The sequence below is a fragment of the Homo sapiens genome, chromosome 4 (genome assembly GCF_000001405.40).
Source record: "Homo sapiens chromosome 4, GRCh38.p14 Primary Assembly".
Lineage (NCBI taxonomy): Eukaryota > Metazoa > Chordata > Mammalia > Primates > Hominidae > Homo > Homo sapiens.
In genome coordinates this window covers 9,062,339-9,090,126 of record NC_000004.12, presented here as the reverse complement: position 1 = coordinate 9,090,126, position 27,788 = coordinate 9,062,339, and the positions used below count along the sequence as shown (strand labels likewise).

The following is a 27,788-nucleotide window of genomic DNA, read 5'->3' as shown; positions in this document are numbered from 1 at the left end:
CTTCCTTTCTATGACAGCTCAGGGAATCCGAAGACAAGGGAGATGCCTTCTTTTTTTTTTTTTTTTTTTTTTTTGAGACAGGGCTTGCTCTATTGCTCAGGCTGGAGTGCAGGGGTGCAATCACAGCTCGCCACAGCCTTGATCTTCTGGACTCAAGCGACCCTCCTGCTTCAGCCTCTTGAGTAGCTGGGACTGTAGGCGGCTACCACCATGCCCAGCTAATTAAATTTTTTTTTTTTTTTTTTTTTTTAGAAATGAGATCTCACTATGTCACCCAGGCTGGCCTCAAACTCCTGGGCTCAAGTGATCGTCCTGCCTTAGCTTCCCAAACTTACAGGTGTAAGCCCCCACGCCAGTCAACGCTGTGGTTTTATGCACCTGGTGTCCCCTACGCCCTGAGCAATGATCCTCCTGCTTCAACCTCCCAAAGTGCTGGGATAACAGATGTGAAGCAGCATGTGTGGCCCACATAGTATTCTTACGGGTTAAATTGAGTCCTCCTCAAAACATGTTGAAATCCTAAATTCTAGCAGCTCAGAACGTGACCTTATTTAGAAATAGAGTTATTGCGGACCGGGCGTGGTGGCTTATGCCTGTAATCCGAGCACTTTGGGAGGTCGAGGCGGGCGGATCACCTGAGGTCAGGAGTTTGAGACCAGCCTGACCAACATGGAGAAACCCCATCTCTACTAAAAATTCAAAATTAGCTGGGTGTGGTGGCCCATACCTGTAATCCCAACTACTCGGTAGGCTGAGGCAGGAGAATCGCTTGAACACAGGAGGCGGAGGTTGCATGGAGCTGAGATCGCGCTATTGCACTCCATCCTGGGCAACAAGAGTGAAACTCCGTCTCAAAAAAAAGAAAGAAAGAAATAGGGTTATTGCAGATGCTATTGATTAGGATGAAGTCATCCTGGAGTAGGGAGGGCCCTAAGTCAATGACTGGTGTCCTTATAAAAGAGGAGAGGACACGCCGAGTCACAGAGACACAGGGAAGAAGGCCATGGATTGGACGGAAGATTGGACTGATGCGTATGCAAACCAAGGAACACTGAAGACTGCCAGGAAACCACAGGAAGCTAGGAAGAGGCAAGGCAGGACCCCCCGACAAGTGCAGGAGGGAACGTGGCCCTGCTGGCACTTCCATTTCAGACTGCTGGCCACCAGAGCCACAAGACAATCAATTTCTCTGGTTTCAAGTCACCCTGCTTTTGGTACTTGGTTGTGGCAGCCCTAGGGAATGAATATAAGTACTTTTTTTTTTTTTCTTTTTTTGAGACGGAGTCTCGATCTGTTGCCCAGGCTGGAGTGCAGTGGCAGGATCTCGGCTCACTGCAATCTCCACCTCCTGGGTTCACGCCATTCTCCTGCCTCAGCCTCCCGAGCAGCTTGGACCACAGGCACCCGCCACCATGTCCAGCTAATTTTTTGTATTTTTAATAGAGACTAGATTTTACCCTGTTAGCCAGGATGGTCTCCATCTCCTGACCTCGTGATCCGCCTGCCTCAGCCTCCCAAAGTGCTGGGATTACAGGCATGAGCCACCACGCCCAGCCGAATATAAGTACTTTTAAATTAACTCTCCTCTTCTCTCCATCTTCTTCTAAATCATCATTTTTGCCTAAGCAACAGCTAGGGTCTAATACGGATGTGATGACTCACTTCAAAGTGGGGGAAGCCCCCATGTGCACCCAAAGCTCCTGCTGCCTTGGCCCTGGGTTCAGAGACTGGACTATCATTCTGGGGGCTTGCTGGAGATCTGAGCCAGGGCATCATTCTCTGTTGCCTTTAAACAAAGGCTGGTGCTCGCCCAGGCATGTGAGCTCCACCGAGGATCTATTTGGAAGGCAGAATTCTGAGATGACCCCTTAGGTTCTTGCCCTGGGTAAATGCCAGGTGTAATCTCCTCTCCCCTGGAGTGTAGGCAGGACCCGCGGCTGGTTTCTAATCTATACCTATGGAAAAGTTGAAGGGATTTTGCAGATGTAACTAAGCCCCTAATCCGTTCACTCTGAGTTAATCAAAAGGGAGATTATTCAGGGTGGGCCTGACATCTATAGGTGAGATCTTCAATGAGGGTCTGGAGGAGAGAGACTCCTTCCTCCTGGTTTTTGGTTTTTGTTTGTTTTTGACATGGAGTCTCACTCTGTTGCCCAGGCTGGAGTGCAGTGGCAAAATCTTGGCTTACTGCAACCTCTGCCTCCCGGGTTCAAGTGATTCTCCTGCCTCAGCTTCCCAAGTAGCTGGGATTACAGGCGTGCACCATCATGCCCGGCTAAGTTTTGTATTTTTAGTAGAGACGGGTTTTCACCATATTGGCCAGGCTGGTCTCGAACTCCTGACCTCAGGTGATCCACCTGCCTCGGCCTCCGAAAGTGCTGGGATTACAGGCGTGAGCCACCATGCTTGGCTGGTTTTGAAGAAGCCAGCCACATGAGTTCCACAGTTGCATGGAAATAAATTCTGCCAACAACCATGTGAGGTTGGGAGAAGACCCCAAACCTCATATGAGACACTAATTCCAGCCAACACTTTGATCACAACCTTGTAAGGACCTGAGCAGAGCACCCAGCTAAAGCTGCACCCCCAGACTCCTGACCCACAGGAAAGGAGAGGTAATAGATGGGTGTTTTAAGCTGCTAAATTTGTTGATTTGTTATGCAGCTTAGAAAATAAATACATCATTCCATGTTTAAAAAATCATAAGCTAATCACACCACTCGAATTCTTTTTTTTTTTTTTTTTTTTTTGAGACAGAGTCTCACTCTATCGCCCAGGCTGGAGAGCAATGGCGCAATCTTGGCTCACTGTAACCTCCGCCTCCCAGGTCCAAGTGATTCCCTTGCCTCAGCCACCCAAGTAGCTGGGACTACAGGCATGCACAAACACACCCAGCTAATTTTTGTATTTTTAGTAGAGATGGAGTTTCACCATTTTCGCCAGGCTGGTCTCGAACTGCTGACCTCAAGTTACCTGCCTTCCTCAGCCTCCCAAAGTGCTGGGGTTACTGACATGAGCCACCGCACCCGGCCTGACATACTATTCAATTTTAAGGAACTTCCAGGTTCTGTGGTCACGCCCCTCTTGTGTGGCATGCAGGTGGGGAGAGATGGGTTGGAAGATGACTGGATGGGGGCATGGAGTTAGGTGGGAAGAGGAAAAGTGTCTTGAAGGAAGTAAGTCCCTTCAGATAAGGGAGTGGGAAGTTTGATCAATGTGCAGACTTTCACAGCCCTTCAGTCCTTGGGATATTGGAGGAGAGACAGGTATTGCCTTACATTTGAGAGTTACCATCCCAGGCAGAGGCCCTACTTCCACCTTCTTGCAGGTGGGGCTGGGGGGCAAATACTTAGAGGAGAAACGAACACCCTTTGTTAGTATGTGAAAAGTTTCTGGAGTGGAGAGATGATGAAGCAGGATATTTGGAGTCAACAGCAAAAGTTTTTATTTTTTATTTTTTATTATACTTTAACTTTTAGGGTACATGTGTACAAAGTGCAGGTTTGTTACATATGTATACATGTGTCATGTTGGTGTGCTGTACCTATTAACTCGTCATTTAACATTAGGTATATCTCTTAATGCTATCCTTCCCCACTCCCCCGACCCCACAACAGGCCCCGGTGTGTGATATTCCCCTTCCTGTGTCCATGTGTTCTCATTGTTTAATTCCCACCTATGAGTGAGAACGTGCAGTGTTTTGTTTTTTGTCCCTGCAATAGTTTGCTGAGAATGATGGTTTCCAGCTTCATCCATGTCCCTACAAAGGACATGAACTCATCATTTTTTATGGCTGCATAGTATTCCATGGTGTATATGTGCCACAGTTTCCTGACGCAGTCTATTGTTGTTGGACATTTGGCTTGGTTCCAAGTCTTTGCTATTGTGAGTAGTGCTGCTATAAGCATACGTGGGCATGTATCTTTATAGCAGCATGATTTATAATCCTTTGGGTATATACCTAGAAATGGGATGGCTGTGTCAAATGGTATTTCTAGTTCTAGATCCCTGAGGAATTGCCACACTGAATTCCACAATGGTTGAACTAGTTTACAGTCCCACCAACAGTGTAAAAGTGGTCCTATTTCCCCACATACTCTCCAGCACCTGTTGTTTCCTGACTTGTTAATGATTGCCATTCTAACTGGTGTGAGATGGTATCTCATTGTTGTTTTGAGTTGCATTTCTCTGGCCAGTGATGATGAGCATTTTTTTCACGTGTCTTTTGGCTGCATAAATGTCTTCTTTTGAGAAGTGTCTTTTCATATCCTTCATCCACTTTTTGATGGGTTGTTTGTTTTTTTCTTGTAAATTTGTTGGAGTTCATTGTAGATTCTTGATATTAGCCTCAGATGAGTAGATTGCAAAAATTTTCTCCCATTCTGTAGGTTACCTTTTCACTCTGATGGTAGTTTCTTTTGCTGTGCAGAACCTCTTTAGTTTAATTAGATTCCATTTGTTAATTTTGGCTTTTGTTGCCATTGCTTTTGGTGTTTTAGACATGAAGTCCTTGCCCAGGCGTATGTCCTGAATGGTATTGCTGAGGTTTTCTTCTAGGGTTTTTATGGTTTTAGGTCTAACATTTAAGTCTTTAATCCATCTTGAATTAATTTTTGTGTAAGTTGTAAGGAAGGGATCCAGTTTCAGCTTTCTACATATGGCTAGCCAGTTTTCCCAGCACCATTTATTAAATAGGGAATCCTTTCCCCATTGCTTGTTTTTGTCAGGTTTGTCAAAGATCACATGGTTGTAGATATGTGGCATTATTTCTGAGGGCTCTGTTCTGTTCCATTGGTCTATATCTCTGTTTTGGTACAAGTACCATGCTGTTTTGGTTACTGTAGCCTTGTAATATAGTTGGAAGTCAGGTAGCGTGATGCCTCCAGCTTTGTTCTTTTGGCTTAGGATTGACTTGGTGATGCAGGCTCTTTTTTGGTTCCATATGAACTTTAAAGTAGTTTTTTCCAATTCTGTGAAGAAAGTCATTGGTAGTTTGATGGGGATGGCATTGAATCTATAAATTACCTTGGGCAGTATGGCCATTTTCATGATATTGATTCTTCCTATCCATGAGCATGGAATGTTCTTCCATTTGTTTGTATCCTCTTTTATTTCATTGAGCAGTGGTTTGTAGTTCTCCTTGAAGAGGTCCTTCACGTCCCTTGTAAATTGGATTCCTAAGTATTTTATTCTCTTTGAAGCTATTGCGAATGTGAGTTCACTCATGATTTGGTTCTGTTTGTCTGTTATTGGTGTATAAGAATGCTTGTGATTTTTGTACATTGATTTTGCATCCTGAGACTTTGCTGAGGTTACTTAGCTTAAGGAGATTTTGGGCTGAGACAATGGGGTTTTCTAGATATACAATCATGTCGTCTGCAAACAGGGACAATCTGACTTCCTCTTTTCTTAATTGAATACCCTTTATTTCCTTCTCCTGCCTGATTGCCCTGGCCAGAACTTCCAACACTATGTTGAATAGGAGTGGTGAGAGAGGGCATCCCTATCTTGTGCCAGTTTTCAAAGGGAATGCTTCCAGTTTTTGCCCATTCAGTATGATATTGGCTGTCGGTTTGTCATAGATAGCTCTTATTATTTTGAGATATGTCCCATCAATACTTAATTTATTGAAAATTTTTAGCATGAAGGTTGTTGAATTTTGTCACAGGACTTTTCTGCATCTAATGAGATAATCATATGGTTTTTGTCATTAGTTCTGTTTATATGCTGGGTTATGTTTACTGATTTGCATATGTTGAACCAATCTTGCATCCCAGGGAGGAAGCCCACTTGATCATGGTGGATAAGCTTTTTGATGTGTTGCTGGATTCGTTTTGCCAGTATTTTATAGAGGATTTTTCTATTGATATTCATCAGGGATATTGGTCTAAAATTCTCGTTTTATGTTTTGTCCCTGCCAGGCTTTGGTATCAGGATGATGCTGGCCTCATAAAATGAGTTAGGGAGGATTCCCTCTTTTTCTATTCATTGAAATAGTTTCAGAAGGAATGGTACCAGCTCCTCCTTGGACCTCTGGTAGAATTCGGCTGTGAATCCGTCTGGTCCTGGACTTTTTTTTGGTTGGTAAGCTATTAATTATTGCCTCAATTTCAGAGCCTATTATTGGTCTATTCAGAGATTCAGCTTCTTCCTGGTTTAGTTTTGGGAGGGTATATGTGTCGAGGAATTTATCCATTTCTTCTAGATTTTCTAGTTTATTTGTGAAGAGGTGTTTACAGTATTCTCTGATGGTACTTTGTATTTTTGTGGGATTGGTGGTGATATCCCCTTTATCAATTTTTATTGTGTCTATTTGATTCTTCTCTCTTTTCTTCTTTATTAGTCTTGCTAGTGGTCTATCAGTTTTTTTGATCTTTTCAAAAAAACAGCTCCTGGATTCATGGATTTTTTTAAGGGTTTTTGGTGTCTCTATTTCCTTCAGTTCTGCTCTGATCTTAGTTATTTCTTGCCTTCTGCTGGCTTTTCAATGTGTTTGCTCTTTGCTTCTGTAGTTCTTTTAATTGTGATGTTAGGGTGTCAATTTTAGATCTTTCCTGCTTTCTTTTGTGGGCATTTAGTGCTATAAATTTCCCTCTACACACTGCTTTGAATGTGTCTGAGAGATTCTGGTACGTTGTGTCTTTGTTCTCGTTGGTTTCAAAGAACATCTTTATTTCTGCCTTCATTTAGTTATGCACCCAGTAGTCATTCAGGAGCAGGTTGTTCAGTTTTCGTGTAGTTGAGCAGTTTTGAGTGAGTTTCTTAATCCTGAATTCTAGTTTGATTGCACTGTTGTCTGAGAGACAGTTTGTTATAATTTCTGTTGTTTTACAATTGCTGAGGAGTGCTTCACTTCCAAATATGTGGTCAATTTTGGAATAAGTGTGTTGTGGTGCTGAGAAGAATGTATATTCTGTTGATTTGGGGTGGAGAGTTCTGTAGATGTCTATTAGGTCCGCTTGGTGAAGAGCTGAGTTCAATTCCTAAATATCCTTGTTAACTTTCTGTCTCCTTGATCTGTCTAATGTTGACAGTGGGGTGTTAAAATCTCCCATTATTATTTTGTGGGAGTCTAAGTCTCTTTGTAGGTCTCTAAAGACTTGCTTTATAAATCTGGGTGCTCCTGTGTTGGGTGCATATATATTTAGGATAGTTAGCTCTTCTTGTTGAATTGATCCCTTTACGATTATGTAATGGCCTTCTTTGTCTCTTTTGATCTTTGTTGGTTTAAAGTCTGTTTTATCAGAGACTAGGATTGCAACACCTGCCTTTTTTTTGTTTTCCATTTGCTTGGTAGGTCTTCCTCCATCCCTTTATTTTGAGCCTATGTGTGTCTCTGCACATGAGATGGGTTTTCTGAATACAGCATACTGATGGGTCTTGACTCTTTATCCAATTTGCCAGTCTGTCTTTTAATCAGAGAATTTACCCATTGACATTTAAGGTTAATATTGTTATGTGTGAATATGATCCTGTCATTATGATGTTATCTGGTTATTTGGCTCATTAGTTGCAGTTTCTTCCTAGCCTCGATGGTCTTTACAATTTGGCATGTTTTTGCAGTGGCTGGTACCTGTTGTCCCTTTCCATGTTTAGTGCTTCCTTCAGGAGCTCTTGCAGGGCAGGCCTGGTGGTGACAAAATCTCTCAGCATTTGCTTGTCTGTAAAGTATTTTATTTCTCCTTCACTTATGAAGCTTATTTTGGCTGGATATGAGATTCTGGGTTGAAAATTCTTTTCTTTAAGAGTGTTGAATATTGGCCCCCAATCTCTTCTGGCTTGTAGAATTTCTGCCAAGAGATCAGCTGTTAGTTTGATGGGCTTCCCTTTGTAGGTAACCCGACCTTTCTCTCTGGCTGCCCTTAACATTTTTTCCTTCATTTTAACTTTGGTGAATCTGACAATTATGTGTCTTGGAGTTGCTCTTCTTGAGGAGTATCTTTGTGGTGTTCTCTGTATTTCCTTAAGTTGAATGTTGGCCTGCCTTGGTAGATTGGGGAAGTTCTCCTGCCTAATATCCTGCAGTGTTTTCCAACTTGGTTCCATTCTCACTGTCACTTTAAGGTACATCAATCAGACGTAGATTTGGTCTTTTCACATAGTCCCATATTTCTTGGAGACTTTGTTCATTTCTTTTTATTCTTTTCTCTCTAAACTTCTCACTTCATTTCATTCATTTCATCTTCCATCACTGATACCCTTTCTTCCAGTTGATCAAATCAGCTACTGAGCCTTGTGCATTTGTCACGTAGTTCTTGTGTCTTGGTTTTCAGCTCCATCAGGTCCTTTAAGGACTTCTCTGCATTGGTTATTCTAGTTAGCCATTCGTCTAATTTTTTTCAAGGTTTTTAACTTCTTTGCCATGGGTTCAAACTTCCTCCTTTAGCTCAGAGTAATTTGATCATCTGAAGCCTTCTTCTCTCAACTCGTCAAAGTCACTCTCTGTCCAGCTTTGTTCCATTGCTGGTGAGGAGCTGCATTCCTTTGGAGGAGGAAAGGTACTCAGATTTTTAGAGTTTCCAGTTTTTCTGCTCTGTTTTTTCCCCATCTTTGTGGTTTTATCTACCTTTGGTCTTTGATGATGGTGACGTACAGATGGGGTTTTATTGTGGAAGTCCTTTCTGTTTGTTAGTTTTCCTTCTGAGAGTCAGGACCCTCAGCTGCATGTCTGTTGGAGTTTGCCTGGGTATCAGCAGTGGAGGCTGCAGAACAGCGGATATTGTTGAGCAGCAAATGTTGCTGCCTGACTGTTCCTCTGGAAGTTTTGTCTCAGAGGAGTACCCGGCCATATGAGGTGTCAGTCTGCCCCTACTGGGGGGTGCCTCCCAGTTAGGCTACTCGGGGGTCAGGGACCCACTTGAGGAGGCAGTCTGTCCATTCTCAGATCTCCAGCTGCGTGCTGGGAGAACCACTACTCTCTTCAAAGCTGTCAGACAAGGATATTTAAGTCTGCAGAGGATTCTGCTGCTTTTTGTTTGCCAATGCCCTGTCCCTAGAGGTGGAGTCTACAGACGCAGGCAGGCCTCCTTGAGCTGTGTTGGGCTCCACCCAGTTGGAGCTTCCCAGCTGCTTTGTTTACCTACTGAAGCCTAGGAAATGGCAGGTGCCCCTCCCCCAGACTTGCTGCCACCTTGCAGTTTGATCTCAGACTACTGTGCTAACAATGAGTGAGGCTCCATGGGTGTAGGACCCTCTGAGCCATGCATGGGATATAATCTCCTGGTGTGCCATTTGCTAAGGCCGTTGGAAAAGTGCAGTATTAGGGTGGGAGTGACCCAATTTTCCAGGTGCCATCTGTCACCCATTTCTTTGACCTGGAAAGGGAATTCTCTGACCCCTTGCACTTCCCGGGTGAGGCAATGCCTCGCCCTGCTTGGGCTCATGCTCACTAGCTGCACCAAGTTTCCTGCACCCACTTTCTGACACTCCCCAGTGAGATGAACCCAGTACCTCAGTTGGAAATGCAGAAATCACCTGTCTTCTGCATTGCTCACGCTGGGAACTGTAGACTGGAGCTGTTCCTATTCTGCCATCTTGGCTCCACCCCCACTATTATGATTCTTACACAGAGTCCTTTGCTTTTCAGCAGCCTCCTTTTCCTCCTTTTTAGGTTGGAATCCCTCTATTTTAGTGGCCACTGGGATTCTGAAATGACCAGGTCTTTGTCTCAGAGACCTGACACATGCTCTTCCCTCTGTCTGGAACACATTTCCTTGCTCTGGTCCCCTGAGAACTCTTTCAGCTCAGCTGCCCCATGCTCAGAGACCCCCTTTCTCCCTCTCTAGTTTGAAGCCAGATTACCCCTGTAGTCTGCACCTGGAAAACTCGTTTTCCTCCTTGATGCCTCCCGAGTTGTCATGAGATGTATGTGTCTGTTTGGGTGTCTGGTGTCTGTCTCCCCGAATGGACTGCATGCTCCTGGTGAGCTGAAGGGACTGGATTAACACAGGCCAAGGCTCTGGGGCTGGAGGGAGCAGGGCAGAAGGCACAGGCAAAAGGCCTTTGTGATCCGGAAGGAAGTGAAGGAGAGAGAGATGAGAGAGGCTGGCAGAACATGGGCCAGGGGCCAGGCTGTGTGGGATCTTTTGAGCCACAGAAAGACATTTGAATTCTCATGTAAGAGAACCAGGACACCATTGGAGGGTATGAGTCACCTCATCTAACTGAGCTCTGTAAATGTCAATGTTTTATTATTTTTATACAATTATTTAAAAGTGATTTTAGTTATTTACCTTTTTATTTTTATTACTTTTATTTTTTTTGAGATAAAGTCTTGCTCTGTTGCCCAAACTGGAGTGCAATGGCATGATCTTGGCTCACTTCAACTTCAACCCCACAGGTTCAAGCGATTCTCCTGCATCAGACTCCCGAGTAGCTGTGGTTATAGGCCTCTGCCACCACGCCCAGCTTATTTTTGTATTTTTAGGATAGACGACGTTTCACCATGTTGGCCAGGCTGGTCTTGAACTCCTGACCTCAGGTGGTCTACCCGCCTCAGCCTCCCAAAGTGCCGGGATTACAAGGGTGAGTCACCATGCCTGGCCCTATTTACTTTTTTAAAAAAGATAAGGCCAGGCACGGTAGCTCATGTCTCCAATCTCAGCACTTTGGGAAACTGAGTTGGGATGTTCACTTGAGACCAGGAGTTCAAAACCAGCCTAGGCAACATAGTGAGACACCACCTGCCCCAATTTCTAAGAAAATGAGAAAATTAGACACGGTGGCTTGTCTGTATCCCCAGCTACTGGGGAGCCTGAGCTAGGGAGCCCTGCTTGAGACCAGGAGTGTGAGGCTCCACTGAGCTGTGATTATGCCACTGAGCTACAGCCTGGGCAACAGAGTGAGACCCCGGAGCCTCCTCAGCCTCCCTAGAGCTGACCGAGCTTTTGCTTCTTATCGCAGGGAATGACCGACACTGGGGCTTTGATGGGCAGAGTGGCCCTTACCTGTGATGGCAGTGAAGTGGGACGGGGAGGTCATTGTGACAAGGGGTGGCATGAGGTACTTGGCCTTGACGCCCTCCCCAGCCAGATGGTCCAGGTTGGGGGTGTCCACATCCTGATCCTAGTTCCAGCGGAAGCGCTGGAAGGAGATCAGCAGCAGCTGTGAGTGTTCTTCTTCCCTGGGACGAGGTGGCCGCCCAGCACGACCGGCGGCGGCAGCAGCAGCTGGAGGGCGCCGAGCCATGTCATCCCACGAGCACCTGTCATGCACTCCTCACACAGTTCATGGGCTTCGCCCTCTTTAGTCCGTTGTTGAACAAAGTCCACATTAATAATTCAGCCCAGCTCTGTTGTGGGACAAACAACCTGGAGTGAAGCAAGGTGCTGCATATTTGCAGGACAGGATGAAAGCGTTCTGGGGATGGATGGGGGACATGGTTGTACAATGTGGTGGACGCACTTAACACCACTGAATTTTTCCTTCGAAAATGGCTAAAATAATAGATTTTTTATGTACTTTACCACAATAAAAAATCAAACTGACCAGGCATGGTGGCTTACAACTGTAATCCCAGCACTTTGGGACGCCAAGACGGGTAGATATTTGAGGTCAGGAGTTCAAGACCAGCCTGGCCCATGGAGAAACCTCATCTCTACTAAAAATGCAAAAATTAGCCGGGCGTGGTGGTACATGTCTGTAATCCCAGCTACTCGGGAGGCTGAGGCAGGAGAATTGCTTGAACCCGGGAGGCGGAGGTTGCAGTGAGCCGAGATCGTGCCACTGCATTCCAACCTGGACGATGGAACGAGACTGCATCTCCAAAGAAAAAAAAATCAAACTACATGAACTATTTTGGATTCTTATACTAATTCGCCACATGAAATATTTTGGACTCTTAAACTAATTCCAACATTTTGAAGATCTGGGGAGAACAAACTAGATTGGTGCTTTCCTTGGCTTAGTATGTCCTGTTTTTATAGGGAGAGCAAATTATTGTTCACCAGCACTATTAAAATAGCTACAACAGGATGGGCATGGTGGCTCACACCTGTAATCCCAGCACTTTGGGAAGCTGAGGCAGGCGGATCACCTGAGGTCAGGAGTTTCCAGCACTTTGGGAAGCTGAGGCGGGCAGATCACCTGAGGTCAGGAGTTCAAGACCAGCCTGGCCAACATGACAAAACCCCGTCTCTACTAAAATATATGAAAATTAGCCAGGCGTGGTGGCAGGCGCCTGTAATCCCAGCTACTTGGGATGCTGAGGCAGGGAAATTGCTTGAACCCTGGAGTTGGAGGTGGCAGTAAGCCGAGATCGTACCACTGCACTCCAGCCTGGGCAACAGAGTGAGACTCTGTCCCCCCTCCCAAAAAAAAGTTACTAAGCTAAAGAGAAAAGTCAAGCTGGGAACTGCTTAGGGGAAACCTGCCTCCCATTCTATTCAGTCACACCTTTGCTCGCTGAGATAAATGTATATCTGATTGCCTCATTTGAAGAGGCTAATCAGGAACTCAAAAGAATGCAATGATTTGTCTCTTAACTACCTATGACCTGGAAGCCCCTTCCCCTTGTCTCACCATCACCTTCACCTGGAGTTGTCCCGCCTTTCCAGACTGAACCAATGTACATCTTACACATATTGATTGATGTCTCATGTCTCTCTAAAAGGTATGAAAGCAAGCTGTGTCCCCACCACCTTAAGCACATGTTGTCAGGACCTCCTGAGGCTGTGTCACAGGTGTGCGTCCTCAACCTTGGCAAAATAAACTTTCTCAATTAACTGAGACCTCAGATTTTTCGAGTGCATATAGTCTTAGGCCTTGAGAGCCCTCTCGTAGTTTCTATATTTTTGCCCTCTTCGATGCTGGCACCAAGCAAACCTTGGCTATCCTGCTTAAAGGGCCATTTGGAGAGTGGTTCTACAGGGCGAGGGGCCACATGGAGGAAAACAAGTTTCCCCAGCTGACAACCAGCACCAACTGCCAGGCACATGCATGAGGTCATCCTGGATGTTCCACCCAGCTGGCCCTCCAGCTGCAGGTAGCCACACAAATGAGCCAAGGTTAAACCAGCCAGGAAGTCCCCATGCAACTCACAGGGTCATGAGCAATAATGACTTGAGGTGGTTTAAAGTTTCTAATTTTAGGTGCAATAGGTAACTGAAACAGCCCACAAGGGTGTGAGCCTGTGGAGGGTGCATTTCCCACCTGCTGAAGCTTCTCAATTCCCAGGATCCAATCCGGATAAGACTCTTGTTCTCAGTGTCCTTGATGGAAATGGCAATGAACTTTTTGCAGATTGGACCATCTCAGGGGAATCCCAAAGATCGGAAACTATTTTCTTTCTCAGAATCTTCCACACAACATTGAGCCTTAGGAATTTCTAAGAAGGATCTGGAATGAAAAAAAAATCTTTTGAAAAGGTATTTATATAGCTTCAGTTCAGCAAGATTCATGGTGACTGTTAGACTAAGTGCTGGTGTTAAGCCAAACCATGTTTTTCAAAGACTCATCTGGCCTCAAGGTTGGCAGGATCAGAATGGCCTCCCAGGATCTATCACATCCTCATAAGAGTTGGTTCAGCTGGCATATACCCAGATCTCTTTGAGCTAGTATGATACTCCTTTAAGTCAAAGGCTGCCACATCACATCTCCTTTAAGTCCCCCTAAGTACGACCCCAGAAGTATTGACAAAATAGTGCTATTCCTGAAGATTTCAGGAGGACATAAATGAAGAGATTAAACTGCAAGGTACCAAAACTTCCATCTTTGCTAAAGACCCTCATCCATGCTGGGCACGGTGACTCATGCCTGTAATCCCAGCACTTTGGGAGGCCAAGGCGGGCGGATCACCTGAGGTCGGGAGTTCAAGACCAGCCTGACCAACATGGAGAAACCCCATCTCTACAAAAAAGACACAATTATCCGGGAGTGGTGGCACATGCCTGTAATCCCAGCTACTAGGGAGGCTGAGGCAGGAGAAGCGCTTGAACCTGGGAGGCGCAGGTTGTGGTGAGCTGAGATCGTGCCATTGCACTCCAGCCTGGGCAACAAGAGTAAAACTCCATCTCAAAAACAAACAAACAAAAAGCCCTTATCCAGTGGTCATGCCACTCTATCTGGCCATGTAATTTCTCCTCCTGTCTTTATGTAGCAACAGCCTTCTGAGGAACCTCACTCTGCCTTTCAAAACCCCTTCAACTTGTACCCTTCATCAGCAAAGTACTTAGCTCAACATGTATGCCTCTGGGGGAACTCATCCGCATGCCATTTCAGGATATTTCCAGCAACATCATCTTCACTACCCCAGGATGGCATTTTAGAGTGGATTACGTGCCTGCTGGATGTGTTGTACTTGAACGAGTTAGAGAAAATGCCACACTTTGAGACTAATTAAGAGTCTGTTCATTTAGCCGGCGGCTAAGAAATGGCTAACGTTTAAAGTTCTCTCGGCCTCGAAGAAGGGGCTAGATTTTCTTTTATACTTTGGTTTAGAAAGGGGAGGGGTATCTAGTTAAAACAATTTTACAGAAGTAGGCAAAAAAGTTAAAAGGATAAATTGTTACAGGAAAGTAAACAGTTCTAGGTCTAGGGGCTTTTAGACTATTATGAGGTGACAGACGCGGGGCTTTGGGCGTTATCAATTGGACGAATTCCTGGGAACTGCGGATATTGCTCACCACAGTATTTTATCAGTTAATTGCATTCTTCGATGTGCTGGGAGTCAGCTTGCACAAGTTAAGTCCTTGAGGAAGGGGCTGCCAGTGAAAGAGCCAAGATTGAGTCTGTCTGGCTCTCTTAGCTAAGGGAGAGTCAATTCAGGTGGAAACAAGGCTAGGTGATTAAAAGAAAGGGAGAGTCTAAGGACAGGGTTAGTAAAAACAAGGTTGGGCATTACATTCCTCACTTGTGTTTTTGGGGAATCAAATCGTTGATTCTTCAGTTATAACAAGGGGGTTATATTGAGTCTTAAGATACATAAGTTTGACAGAAGCTATGCGTTGTTTTACAAAATTAAGAAACTAATTAAATATACAAGGTCCAAAAATTAGACTTAATAGTAGGATGGGGAGGGGGTCTGGCTAACGTAGTAATTAGAATAGTTAGCTCTGGGTTCTAGTTGAACATGTTTTGATACTAGGGGATGTTATTTTCTTGTTTTTGTTGGCGCTTATCTAGATTTTCTTGCACTTTCTGGAGTATATCTTTCATGACTAAGAATGGTGAAGGAACAGTTAAATCAACTTTGTCAGGGTGTTTCTGGAACATAGGGTTACTTAGATCAGTTAAAGGCCTGACTGACTTGGGTGGGCTTTATGAGACTAGGGTTTTTTTGGACGGTGAACATAGACTTAACATTAAATCCTGGGATATAAAATCTCAATCTTCATGACAGGCCATGATACTATTGAGTTGAATTAAGGTCATGGACAGTTATAGTAAGAGGATTACAATTTTTTCTAGTACATAATTTAGGATGAGAAGCAGGACTTATGGAAAGAGTTGAAGATCTGGTTGATCTTTTAGAGTAGGTGGCTAAAGTTACACATGTCTAATCAGGACAGGAAAACTGATAAGTATCTTGACAGCTAGCATCAGGGTGATTTCTCGGACAGAGGTAAAAGTCAATATTTTGGAGTCTTTTTTCTGCACTTTTGGAGCTTCTACACTTAGTTTGGCTCTTGGAGTGTCTGAATCTTGCTAAAAGGTCGACACTTCCTGCTCCTGGAACTGGCAGATTGTGTTGCTTTTCGTGGGTATGGGCTGGCTTTGGGAAAAGTACAAATAAGTCAACTGCAAAGGAGACTTCCTTGGAGGTACTGGCCTTCTAAATGGTGTTTGCAAATGCACGTCCTGTTGTGAAAGAGGTGAGGAGAAAGGAGTAGGAAGGCACAGAGGATGTAACGGGCAAAAACAAGTAAGTTAGGTAGTAAAAAGAATGAATCTAATGGCTTCACCTGATTTAGGTGCAGTTTTAAGGGGCCTGACTTAGGCCTGGGGACTTATGTTTTTAGCTGGGCTCTGTTGGCCTTTTTGATGCGGGAGTGATGAATCTAGGCAGGAATGCCGTCTACTTTCAGAGCAGTTGGAGTCGTGAGGATGACGGTGTGAGGTCTTTTCTAAGCAGGAGTGAGTCTTTCTTTCTGGAAATTTTTAACAAACACTAGGTCTCATGGCTGTAACGAATGGCAGGACTTTGGTCAGGAATTGGATTGGGATGGGCTCCTCGAACAAGTGGCAGGATAATATCTTGTACCTGTTGGAGAGAATATAGGTACTGTAATAAATTATTTTGTGATATTTCTGCTAATTTGGCTTCTCTTAGCTTAGGCAAGATAGGGGGTGCCTTCTTATACATGATTTCAAAAGGTGAGAAACTAGCCTGGTAAGGGGTGCACCTTACTTTAAGTAGGGCTAAAGGAAGGAGACTTACTTAATTTACACTGTTTTTTTAGATTAATTTTGTAAGAGTGTTTTTTAGGGTGTGGTTCATGCGTTCTACTTGCCTGGAGCTCTGGGGTTGATAGGCACCATGATTGAATGTTTAAGGCCTTACTGACTGACTGAGCTATAGGCGAGGTGAAGGCTGCTCTATTATCAGAGTTTATGGCAACAGGCAGCCTATACTGAACGATGATTTCATTGAGTAAAAACTTAACTACTGTGTTGGTGGTTTCGTTTTCGGTAGCAAATGCCTTAGTCTATCTGGAGAAGGTGTCTACTAGTACTAGAAGGTATTTGTACTTAGCCTGGTGTGGTTTGACTTCTGTAAAGTCAATTTCTTAGTTTTTTCTTGGCGAGTTTTTTCAGAGACAGTGGCCTCGGCTGGGTTTAGGACTTTCTTTGGCATTTACTTGGGCGCAGGTTGTGAACTGGAGAGCTGCTTAATCTGTTAGGCTTTGAAGACGGGGGATCTTAAAATGGCTCTGGAGAAGCTAAGGTAGATTTGCTCTTCTTAAATGGGTGGTAGACTGTAGGTAACTGATTAAAGTTTCTTTAAGAGTTCACGGTATGAAGATTCTAAAGTCAGGAAGAATCTACTAACTTTCCTGATTTTTATTGGCTCTGAGATCCGAAGCCAGTTTTTTTTGTTGTTGTTGTTGAGTATACAGGATTGTCAGGCAGATCTGGCTGTGGAAAGGAGACTGTGGACAGCAAGTTTAGAGGCGTGACTGAAAGTCTTGCTGCGATCTGAGCTGCTGAATCAGGTTTCTGGTTACTATGGGCAACGGCCGTGTTTTCTTTTTGATGTCCTTTGCAGTGGATCACAGCTACCTGCTGAGGTGAGTAGCCTGCTTTCCTGGTAGATGGCTTTATGTACATGCACAGTAGCTAAGGCGTACTTGCTGTCAGTGTAAATGTTAATACGTTTATTCTTACTTTATCGGAGAGCCTGAGTGAGGGCCATCAATTCAGCCTTTTGTGCTGAGTTGTTCGCTGGTAAAGCTTGAGCTTACAACACATCTGTCTCCGTGGTAACAGCTGCACTGACTTTTCATACTTTCTGCTTGAGGAAGATGCTACTGTCTGTGAACACGGCGGCATCTGCCTTTTCTAGGGGCACAGCTTGAAGATCAGATAGGCCAGATTCGATAGTTTCTAACAGTTCTTGACAGTCATGAGCAGGAATAGTGGAGTCTGAGTCAGGAAGTAGTGTAGCTGGATTGAAACACTTTGTGGGAGAGAAAGTCAAACGAGGCTGATCTACCAGTAAACTTCGATACTGCAAGATGCGAGCATTTGACATCTATTTGCCAGAAGCACTTCATAGTAAGGTCTTTACTGCATGAGGAGCTGTAAGGGTTAAATTTTGGCTTAGAGTTAACTTATCATCTCCTTGGGCCAGGCTTGCTATAGCCACTACGGCTCACAGACAACTTGGCCATCTAGAGGCCACAGGATCTAGCCTCTTAGATAAATAGGCCACTGGGCGTCTTTAGGGTCTTAGAGTCTGAGTAAACACGTCTTTAGCAACTTCTTGGCTTTTATGGAGATATTAGGGAGGGCTAAAGCAGGGGCTTCAGTTAATGCTAAATTAACGGGCTATTTCATTCTGTACTTCTTGGATAGCCACCACTAAGATTTTTGTTTGTCTTTTGAATGCTTTATCAGCGGCCTTTTCAGCTGCCTGTGTTGCTTGTTTTTGTTTTTTAAACTTTTGATTGTCAAAAACTTTTTGGGCTATTTCTAAAAGCTGACTGATATTTATTCTAGCAAATCTTTTTAGTTTTTGGAGTTTCTTTTTAATATCCGGGGCTGCCTGAGCCACAAATGCTAAATGAAGAGCACGGCTATTTTCGGGAGCTGCCGGGTCAAAAGGGGTGTAAGTCCGATAAGCCTCCTGGAGGCGCTCTAAAAACGTTCTTGGTGACTTATCGGGCCTTTGGACAACTTCGGTCGTCTTAGACAAGTTTATGGGTTTCTGAGCGGCTCTTTTAATACTTGCGAGGAGATACCGGTGAAAATCGTCTAAAGCTCCCTTTCTACTTGAGGAATTTGGGTCCCGGTTAGGCCAGGTAGAGGCAAAGACCACCTCAAGGAGGTCTCTAGCTCCTTCTTCCGGTCCGTTGGCTGATGTGAGGAAGTACTTTTTGGCTTCTTTTGGATACGTTCTTTCTTTTCAGAGGTGAAAAGGGTTAAAAGGAGCTGTTGGCAATCATCTTAGGTGGGTGAGTGAGTCCGGAGTACAGACTCTGTCAGAGAGGTCAAAGCCTGGGGCTTTTCAGAGAAGGGAGGATTATGGGTTTTCGAATTATATAAGTCAGAAGTAGAAAAAGGAACACAAACTAAGAAGGGTGCTGAGCCCTCATCACCTGGAGGGACTTGTGCCTCTCTCAGTGGTAGTAGAGGGGCTACTTCTTACTGCCACAGTCATGATTGAGAGGCAATGGGTGGCGAGCCTACAGAGGACGTCGTCGAGGAGACATGGGATAACTTCAAGGGAGAAGGTTGGTTGTAAGGCGGTGAGACTGGGTGAGGGAGACTCTCCTCTTCTTCAGAGGGAGGCAGTACAGGGGGAGCTGAACCGGCTGAGGGTCGAGGTGAAAACGCGGTCTGGCTTAGGAGGACCTTGGAGGTAGAATTATGAATGGCACATGAGCGGAGCCATGGAGGGGGGATCCTGCTAAACTTAGCTATTGATCAATGTAGGGAAACTGATCAGGGTGGCTAGGAGTTTCAGTAACAACCTGCCACACAGCTTGAACAATTGTGAGGTTCAATGACCCTTCAGGGGGCCACTTGACTTTAAACTTTGGCCATTTTATTTTGCAGAGTGTCTGGAGCTTGCCTTTTTTAAGGCGGACTTTATAATCCTCTGAGAAACTGAGAGGAAAATTCTGCAGCATACATTGGAGAGGGCTTTAATTTTACAAGGCTGGGAGGAAGTGTTTTTTTTTTTGTTTGTTTGTTTTGAAGGCAATTTAATAAGATTTGAGCATAGATATTGAACTTAGCATGGACAGAGAAACTTATTTCTTGGGGGACTGGAGTAGTGAAAGAACAGAATCAATATGACTAGAAAGAGCAGAAAAACTTACAACAGCTAATACTACCTGCTACATTGCTGTAGCTTTAAGATTGAGGGAGGAGGACTAGAGCCAGCCTGAGATCTTCTGGGTCAGTTTGATCTAGGCGTTCTTCTTCTTCTTCTAGATCTGCACTTTAAATACTTTTGGTGTCTTTGTGACTTAAACGCAAATAGCTTAAACTTAGCTTTTTCTTTTAAGGGTTTAAGGAGTGAGAGCAGAGCCAAGTCCTGGAGACGGTAAACTTGCTGTCGCACCACAAAAAGAGATGTGCGGGATAGGGGGCAGGGACAAGATGGAAAAGGACTACTCGGATCATTTTTAAGATGGGAGAGTAGCCACAGAGGAACAGAGTAAGAATCTAAACGAAGTAAAGCAGTACGGGCGTACGTTTCTTTACACAGTGTTCTACTTAAGGGCACAGGAAAAGTTACAGAATGACAAGAGAGGTGAGCAAGGAAATCTGCAGGGTGGCTGTTTTGAACTCACTACTGGTTTAGTTTAGAGGACGTCTAATCGCTTGGACGAGGAGTATGACGATCTAAATACTTACAACTTTCATGGTGCTAGAAATCTTAATCAGGCAAATGTTTTTCACACTTCTTCTTGTAACAGCACTTGACTTGCTTCTGGCAGAAAAGACAGGACTGTGGTGGTCAGCCTAAAAGATTGATGAGAAATTTAACCTCCTGTGACAAAAAATCAGCACTAAGGACTTTGAAGAAGTTTTTACTTAGACGTCTTGGGCAATATCAACGTCTTGACATGCAAAACTTTCACAACTACTAACGACAATAGACACTGAACAGAACAATCAACATTAAACAAACAATTGACTTTAGGGCATGTAAACAGTTATGACAGTTTGTTTCTTCCTTTTTTTTTTTTTTTTTAAGATAGAGAAGGGGAGGGTTTCCTGTGATGGGATCAGTCAGATGCCTGCCTGGCCGCTCCCCATGAGGGGACTTGGGCTCCTCTTAACATTGGCAGGCCGGTATAAACTTGCGGCTCAGATCAAGCTATGCCTGATGCTGCCTTAAGCCTTATGAGGTCGCCAAGGAACCGCAGGTGAGGGTCTATTTGAACTCCGTAGCTTTCGCCGTGGAGCTACAAACTGGAGGACAAGCGCAAGCCCTTGTCCTCCCTCATTCATTCATTATTCACAGAGAGTATATAACAGGTTTTTTTTTTTTTCTTTCTTGGAGATTCTTCAAGAAACTTGAACAAGAGAAAGATGAGAGATACAAAAAGAGAGAGAGAGAGTGATCGGTCTGCCAGAAACCAGGACTCAGTCCTCCAGCATCCTGGGATGTGGACTGAGTCAAGGGAGGGCCCCTGTCAGGGCCACTTCCCTCCTAGAAAGAGACACAGAGGTGCCTAACAGAAAACCAGGGCTCTACATTCTAGCGTCCTAGAGAAACAGACAGAGTCAAAAGAGGGACACCCTCATCAGGGCCGCTTCCCTCTTACTAGAACTGAAGTCAAATCTGACCTACCTGACCTCGGGGTCAGAAGTCGAGGACTCAGAGGTGGAATTTTTGTGGGCACCCACACGGTAGTCGATCCGCTCTCCTCTGGAAGACGGTCACCTTTCGAGGACCTGAAAATTTTTTTTTAGGTGGCGCCCCCCCACGAGCCGGCCGTCCTTCCCGGGGAGCCCGGAGCGAGCCCGGCTCTCGCCTCGTGGCGTCTCTCGCTCGGGCCTCCAAATGTTGTACTTGAATGAGTTAGAGAAAATGCCACACTTTCACATGAATTAAGAGTCTGCTTATTTAGCTGGCGGCCAAGAAATGGCTAAGCCTTAAAGTTCACTTGGCCCCGAAGAAGGGGCTAGATTTTCTTTTATACTTCAGTTTAGAAAGGGGAAACGGGTCTAGTTAAAAGAATTTTACAGAAGTAAAGTAGGCAAAAAAGTTAAAAGGATAAATTGTTACAGGAAAGTAAACAGTTCTAGGTCTAAGGGCCTTAAGACTATTACAAAGTGATAGACGTGGGGCTTTAGGCATTATCAATCGGACTAATTCCTGGGAACTGCAGATATTGCTTGCCCCACAGTATCTTATCACTTAATTGCATTCTTAGATGTGCTAAGAGTCAGCTGGCACAAGTTAAGTCCTTGAGGAAGGGGCTGCCAGTGAAAAAGCCAAGATAAAAGCTGTCCCCAGTGTTACAGGTGGGGCCTGGTGGGAAGAGATTGGATCATGGGGGTGGATTTCTCATGAATGATTTAGCATCATCCTTTTGGTCCTGTCCTTTCAATAGTGAGTGAGTTCTTGCAAGATCGGGTTGTTTACGAGTGTGTAGCACCTCCCACCTTACTCTCTTGCTCCTGCTTCACCTTCTGCCATCATAGTAAGTTTCCTGAGGCCTCCACAGAAGCTCAGCAAATGTCAGTGTCACGCTCCCTGTATAGCCTACAAAACTGTGATCCAATTAAACCTCTTTTCTTTATATATTACCCAGCCTCAGGTATTTCTTTATAGCATGAGAGAACAGCCAAATCCGGCAGCAATAGACAATATGTAGCAAATGTGCATGGCTGTGTTTCAATAAAACTTTATTGACAAACACATGTGCAAGCAGGTCAGATTTGGCCCATGGGCCATAGTGTCCCAACCTCTGCTCTGGAATATTCTCTTCAGCCTACATGGACATCTCTAGGTTGTTTTTTTTTTTTTTTTTTTTTTGAGACAAAGTCTCACTGTTTCCCAGGCTGGAGTGCAGTGGTGCAATCTTTGCTTGCCACAACCTCTGCCTCCTGGGTTCAAGCAATTCTCCTGCCTCAGCCTCCAAAGTAGCTGGGATTACAGGCACCTGCCACCACACCTGGCTAATTTTTGTATTTTTTAATAGAAATAGGGTTTCACCATGTTGGCCAGGCTGTTCTCAAACTCCTGACATCAGGTGATCCACCCACCTCAGCCTCCCAAAATGCTGGGATTACAGGTGCCCGCCACCACACCTGGCTAATTTTTGTATTTTTAGTAGAGATGTGATTTCACTATGTTGCCCAGGCTGGTCTCGAACTCCTGATATCAAGTGATCCACCTGCCTCAGCCTCCCAAAGTGCTGGGATTACACGTGTGAGCCACTGCAGCTGCCCTCTAGATTTTTTTTTTTTGACCATTGCTTATTTGGTTTGACTTTCATTTTCTTCCCCATTGTGGTAGTCATTTTCTGAATGCCTGTTAGTTTGTCCATCTCTCTCCTCTGTAGTCCCTAGAGTCAGATGAACTCCTCTGCAGGTGCAATGGTGTAACACTCTCTAGTGCTGAATTTTGAGCAGGAGAAAGAGAGCAAGAGTGACCAGTACCTTTGGAAACTCTGGCCTCCTGAGAATTTGGTGTCTTCTCTGCAAATGTTGCAAACCTGCTAATCCACAGGCCAGAGAGAGACAAGCCAGAAGCATGATCTGTTAAGCTCGAGTTTAATATTTGATGCACAGAGATCACTGAGTTTTTTGATAAGAATTAGAGGGGGAAGAAATGGCCACAGAGAAGAATTTCTATCTCCAGGTGAGGATTCAGGAGATAATTCTGCAAACAGAACTTCCTGAGAACTGAGATGGTGGAAATCGCTGGTATTAGAAGAGTGAAAATGTCAGTAATTAAGGCTACAACTGTGCTCTTAGAGGCAAAAGAAGAAAATGAGACTGCCAGGCATGAATAATGAGAAATCTTTGATGGAATTAGCCATGCAGAACAGATACTAAATGCATCCTCATTCTTCTCATAGTCAAAAGTTTTTGCTGAAGGTGGATGGGAAAAAGAGAATCCCATTTCACTAAATACAAAAGAGGGGATTTTAGAGAAGGTCTCAGAAGAAAGAGATGTGGGGGTTTGGTGAAACTCACCAGAGGCTGATCCCTTTCCAGCATAACACAGGGATTGAGAGGAGCGGGGTGGCATTAGGCCAGGTGCATAACCCAGTGCTGCTCTCTCTGGACTTTCTGCTCTCTCTGGACTTGTTTGCTAGCTGAGCTCATCCATTTACATAATTTCCAGTGCCATTTCTCAGCTGATGAGTCCTGAACTTTTGTCTTGAGGCTAGACTTCTCCTTCAAACAGCAGTCTTAAACACTCAACTTCTTTCTTGTTTTTTCCACTTGTCAACTCATGAACACCTCAACCTTGTTACATCCAAAGCCAAACTCATGGCTTGGAGTGGTAGGTGATGGCTGTAATCCCAGTGCTATGGGAGGCTGAGGTGGGAGGATTACTTGAGGCCAGGAGTTTGAAGCCAGCCTGGAAAACACAGTGAGACTCCCTATCTACAAAAAAAAAAAAAAAAAAAAAAAAAAAAAAAAAAAAAAAAAAAAAAAAAGGCTAGGCATGGTAATGTGCATCTGTAGGATCTGTAGTCCTGCTACATGGCAGGCTGAGGCAGGAGGATCACTTGAGCCCAGGAGTTTGAGGCTGCAAAGAGCTATGATTGCACCAATGCACTCCAGCCTGGGTGACACAGCCAGAGACCCTGTCTTAAAAAAAAACCCAATGCTAAACTCTTTTTTTCCTCCTCCTTCTCCATGGGCTCTGTCCGTGCCATCTCTGTCCTGTAAATGGCATCACACCCTGCTGAGCTGCTCAAAGTGGTCATAACTCATGTGTTGTGCTAACTCTGCTTTTGCCCTCTTCTCCAGTCAGCAAGTCCTGTGATTCTAAACTTTATCCAACTTGTCCACTCTCTCCAGCTTCACTGTCATTATCTTTGCGTAGGACACCACTATCTCAGCTGGGCTACAGCAGCAGCCTCCTAACTGGTCTTAACTGGTACTCTGCACCTGCTCTCCATGCTCAGCAATCCATTTCCTACCTGGCAGCTTCAGTGATCTTAAGATGTCCATTGAGTCTCATCCCTGCCTTTCCTGCCCATGGTACATAGAATAAAATGGAGACCCCGAGTCTTCTGCCTGTTCCTGCCACCTCTCCAGCCCTCTCCTATCTCCTGTTCTTGGCCTACTCTATTTCAGCCACTATGGCCTCCTTTTGTTTTCTTGGACTTTCAAACCTTTTTCCACAACAGGGCCTTTGCACTTGCTGTTTCAGCCTGGAATGATTTTCCTCTGCACCTCCCCAGATTAGACCATCCTTTAGGTCTCAGCTAAAATGGTGCTTCCACAGACAGTTCTTTCCTGACCCCTTTATAAAGTGGACTTCCCTGCTCTTCTCCACCTTAACCTCTTATTGCTTCTTGTTGTGGGAAGTCAGGGACCCCAAATGGAGAGGGACTGTCTGGAGCCATGGCAGAGGAACATAAATAGTGAAGATTTCATGGACATTTATCAGTTCCCAAATAATACTTTTATAATTTGTTATGCCTGTCTTTAATCTCTTAATTCTGTTATATTCATAAGCTAAGGATGTACATCACCTCAGGACCACTGTGATAATTGTGTTAACTGTACAAATTGATTGTAAAACATGTGTGTTTCAACAAAATGAAATCAGTGTACCTTGAAAAGGAAGAGAATAACAGCAATTTTTAGGGAACAAAGGAAGACAACCATAAGGTCTGACTGCCTGCAGGGTTGGGCAAAAAGAGCCATATGTTTCTTCTTGCAGAGAGTCTATAAATGGATATGCAAGTAGGAGAGATATCACTAAATTCTTTTCCTAGCAAGGAATATTAATAGTAATACCCTGGGAAAGGAATGCATTGCTGGGGGAAGGTCTATAAATGGCCGCTCTGGGAATGTCTGTCTTATGCGGTTGAGATAAGGACTGAGATACGCCCTGGTCTCCTGCAGTACCCAAAGGCTTACTAGGGTGGAGAAAAACTCCGCCCTGATATATCTGTGGTCAGACTGCTTCTCTGCTCTTGAACCCTGTTTTCTGTTGTTTAAGATGTTTATCAAGACAATACATGCGTGAATGAACATAGACCCTTATCAGTGGTTCTGCTTTTGCCCTTTGCTTTGTGATCTTTGCTGGACACTTATCAGTAGTTCTGCTTTTGCCCTTTGTCCTGTTCCCTCAGAAGCATGTGATCTTTGTTAGACCCTTAGTAGTAGTTCTGCTTTTTACCCTTTGAAGCATGTGACCTTTGTACCTACTCCCTGTTCTTACACCCCCTCCCCTTTTGAAGCCCTTAATAAAAACTTGCTCATCTGAGACTCAGAGGGCATCACAGTCCTACTAATGTGTAATGTGTAATGTCACCCCCAGCAGCCCAGCTGTAAAATTCTTCTCTTTGTAGTGTCTCTATTTCTCAGCTGGCTGACACTTATGGAAAATAGAAAGAACCTACATTGAAATATTGGGTGCAGGTTCCACCTATACTTCTTTCATGGATTTACTTATTTTTTGTTTGTCCCCCTCTGTATCCTAGAAACTCCTAGAGGGCAGAGGCATGCCTGCCATCTTCATCATTGCATTACCATCACCCAACACTATCAGGGGACCTGCCCTGATAATCAGGTAGGTCTTTTCTATTTTCCTAAGCATTGACTGGCTTGAGAAATAAAAGGACAGAGTACAAAAGAGAGAAATTTTAAAGCTGGATGTCCGGGGGAGACATCACACATTGGTAGGATCCGTGATGCCCCACAAGCCACAAAAACCAGCAAGTTTTTATTAGGGAGTTTCAAAAGGGGAGGGAGTATACGAATAGGTGTGGGTGACAGACATCAAGTAGTTAACAGGGTAATAGAATATCACAAGGCAAGTGGAGACAGGGCAAGATCACAGGACCACAGGACTGAAGTGAAATTAAAATTGCTAATGAAGTTTTGGCACCATTGTCATTGATAACATCTTATCAGGAGACAGGGTTTTGAGATCAACTTGTCTGAACAAAATTTATTAGGTGGGAATTTTCTCTTCCTAATAAGCCTGGGAGTGCTATGGGAGACTGGAGTTTATTTCACCTCTGCAATCTCGACCATAAGAGACAGGTACGCCCTGGGGGGCCAGTTCAGAGACCTACCCCTAGGTGTGCATTCTCTTTCTCAGGGACGTTCCATGCTGAGAAAAGGAATTCAGCGATATTTCTCCCATTTGCTTTTGAAAGAAGAGAAATATGGTTCTGTTCTGCCCGGCTCACCAGCAGTCAGAGTTTAAGGTTCTCTCTCTTATTCCCTGAACAATTGCTGTTATCCTGTTCTTTTTTTTATCCTGTTCTTTTTTCAGGGTGCCCACATTTCATATTGCTCAAACACACATGCTGTACAATTTGTGTACTTAACGCAATTATTACAGGTCCTGAGACGATATACATCCTTCTCGGCTGACAGGATTAAGAGATTAAAGTAATGAAAGGCATAGGATATCACAAGGGTATTGATTGGGGAAGTGATAAGTGTCCATGAAATCTTTACAATTTATGTTTAGAGATTGCAGTAAAGGCAGGCATAAGAAATTACAAAAGTATTAATTTGGGGAACTAATAAATGTCCATAAAATCTTCATAATTCACGTTCTTCTGTTATGGCTTCAGCCGGTCCCTCCGTTTGGGGTCCCTGACTTCCCGCAACACAGCACAGTGCCTGGCACAAAAGAGTTGCTCAATAAATAAATCAGGATGAATAGATAAATACACGGATAGGCACTTTGAACTACAGATGAGATTAAATACTTTGTGTTTTTCTTAGTCAATGTTTTTCTTAGTCAAACGTGTAATTAAGCATGTGATAAATGTTATGATGACCATACCTGTGTCTTGCCTGATGCTCTTTGCAATCACTAAATGAAGTCAATTGTGCCTGTTTTGACAGTTCTATTTTCAACCTAATGATCTGTTTATTTTAACTTCTGGCTGTTGGCTTTGTTTGGGTGTGTTAGCCTGACAAAGTGGTAGATATTGGTATTTGCTCTTTTGTTTAAATGTCAGGAACTTTAAAAATGCCTTTGCTTTTGGTAAGAAACCCTAGTTAGGACACCCTAGTGGTCAGGATGATTTGGGTTCTGGTGCAGTAACAACAATCCCCAAATCTCAGTGGCTCCATGCAGTGAGGTATTTGTTTGTTTTTGAGACAGGGTCTCACTCTGTCACCCAGACTAGAGTGCAGTGGTGCAATCTCAGCTCACTGCAACCTCTGCCTCCCAGACTCAAGTGATTCTCCTGCCTCCTGAGTAGCTGGGATTACAGGCCCATGCCACCACTGTCTGGCTAATTTTTGTACTTAGTAGAGACAGGATTTCACCATGTTAGCCAGGCTGGTCTTGAACTCCTGACCTCAAATGATCCACCCGCCTTGGCCTCCCAAAGTTCTGGAATGACAGGCATGAGCCACCATGCCTGGCCACAGTGAGGCTTATTCTTGGTCATGTTGCATGTCTGGGCTGTGTTAGGGCATTGTGTGGTGGTCTGTTCATTGTGTTC

General features: G+C 44.4%; 1 long non-coding RNA gene and 1 pseudogene across 2 annotated transcripts in view; one reads left to right on the top strand and one right to left on the bottom strand.

Moving 5' to 3' along the window:
* Positions 1-11,169, bottom strand: part of ENPP7P10 (ectonucleotide pyrophosphatase/phosphodiesterase 7 pseudogene 10) — a 62,651-nt pseudogene extending 51,482 nt beyond the window's left edge.
* LOC105369250 (uncharacterized) overlaps positions 1-27,788 on the top strand; it is a 117,941-nt gene that overhangs the window by 62,388 nt on the left and 27,765 nt on the right. For both annotated transcript variants that reach the window (XR_001741579.3, XR_001741578.3), the window contains exon 3: positions 25,797-25,885. This is a non-coding gene — a long non-coding RNA (uncharacterized LOC105369250). The remainder of the gene's footprint in view (positions 1-25,796; positions 25,886-27,788) is intronic.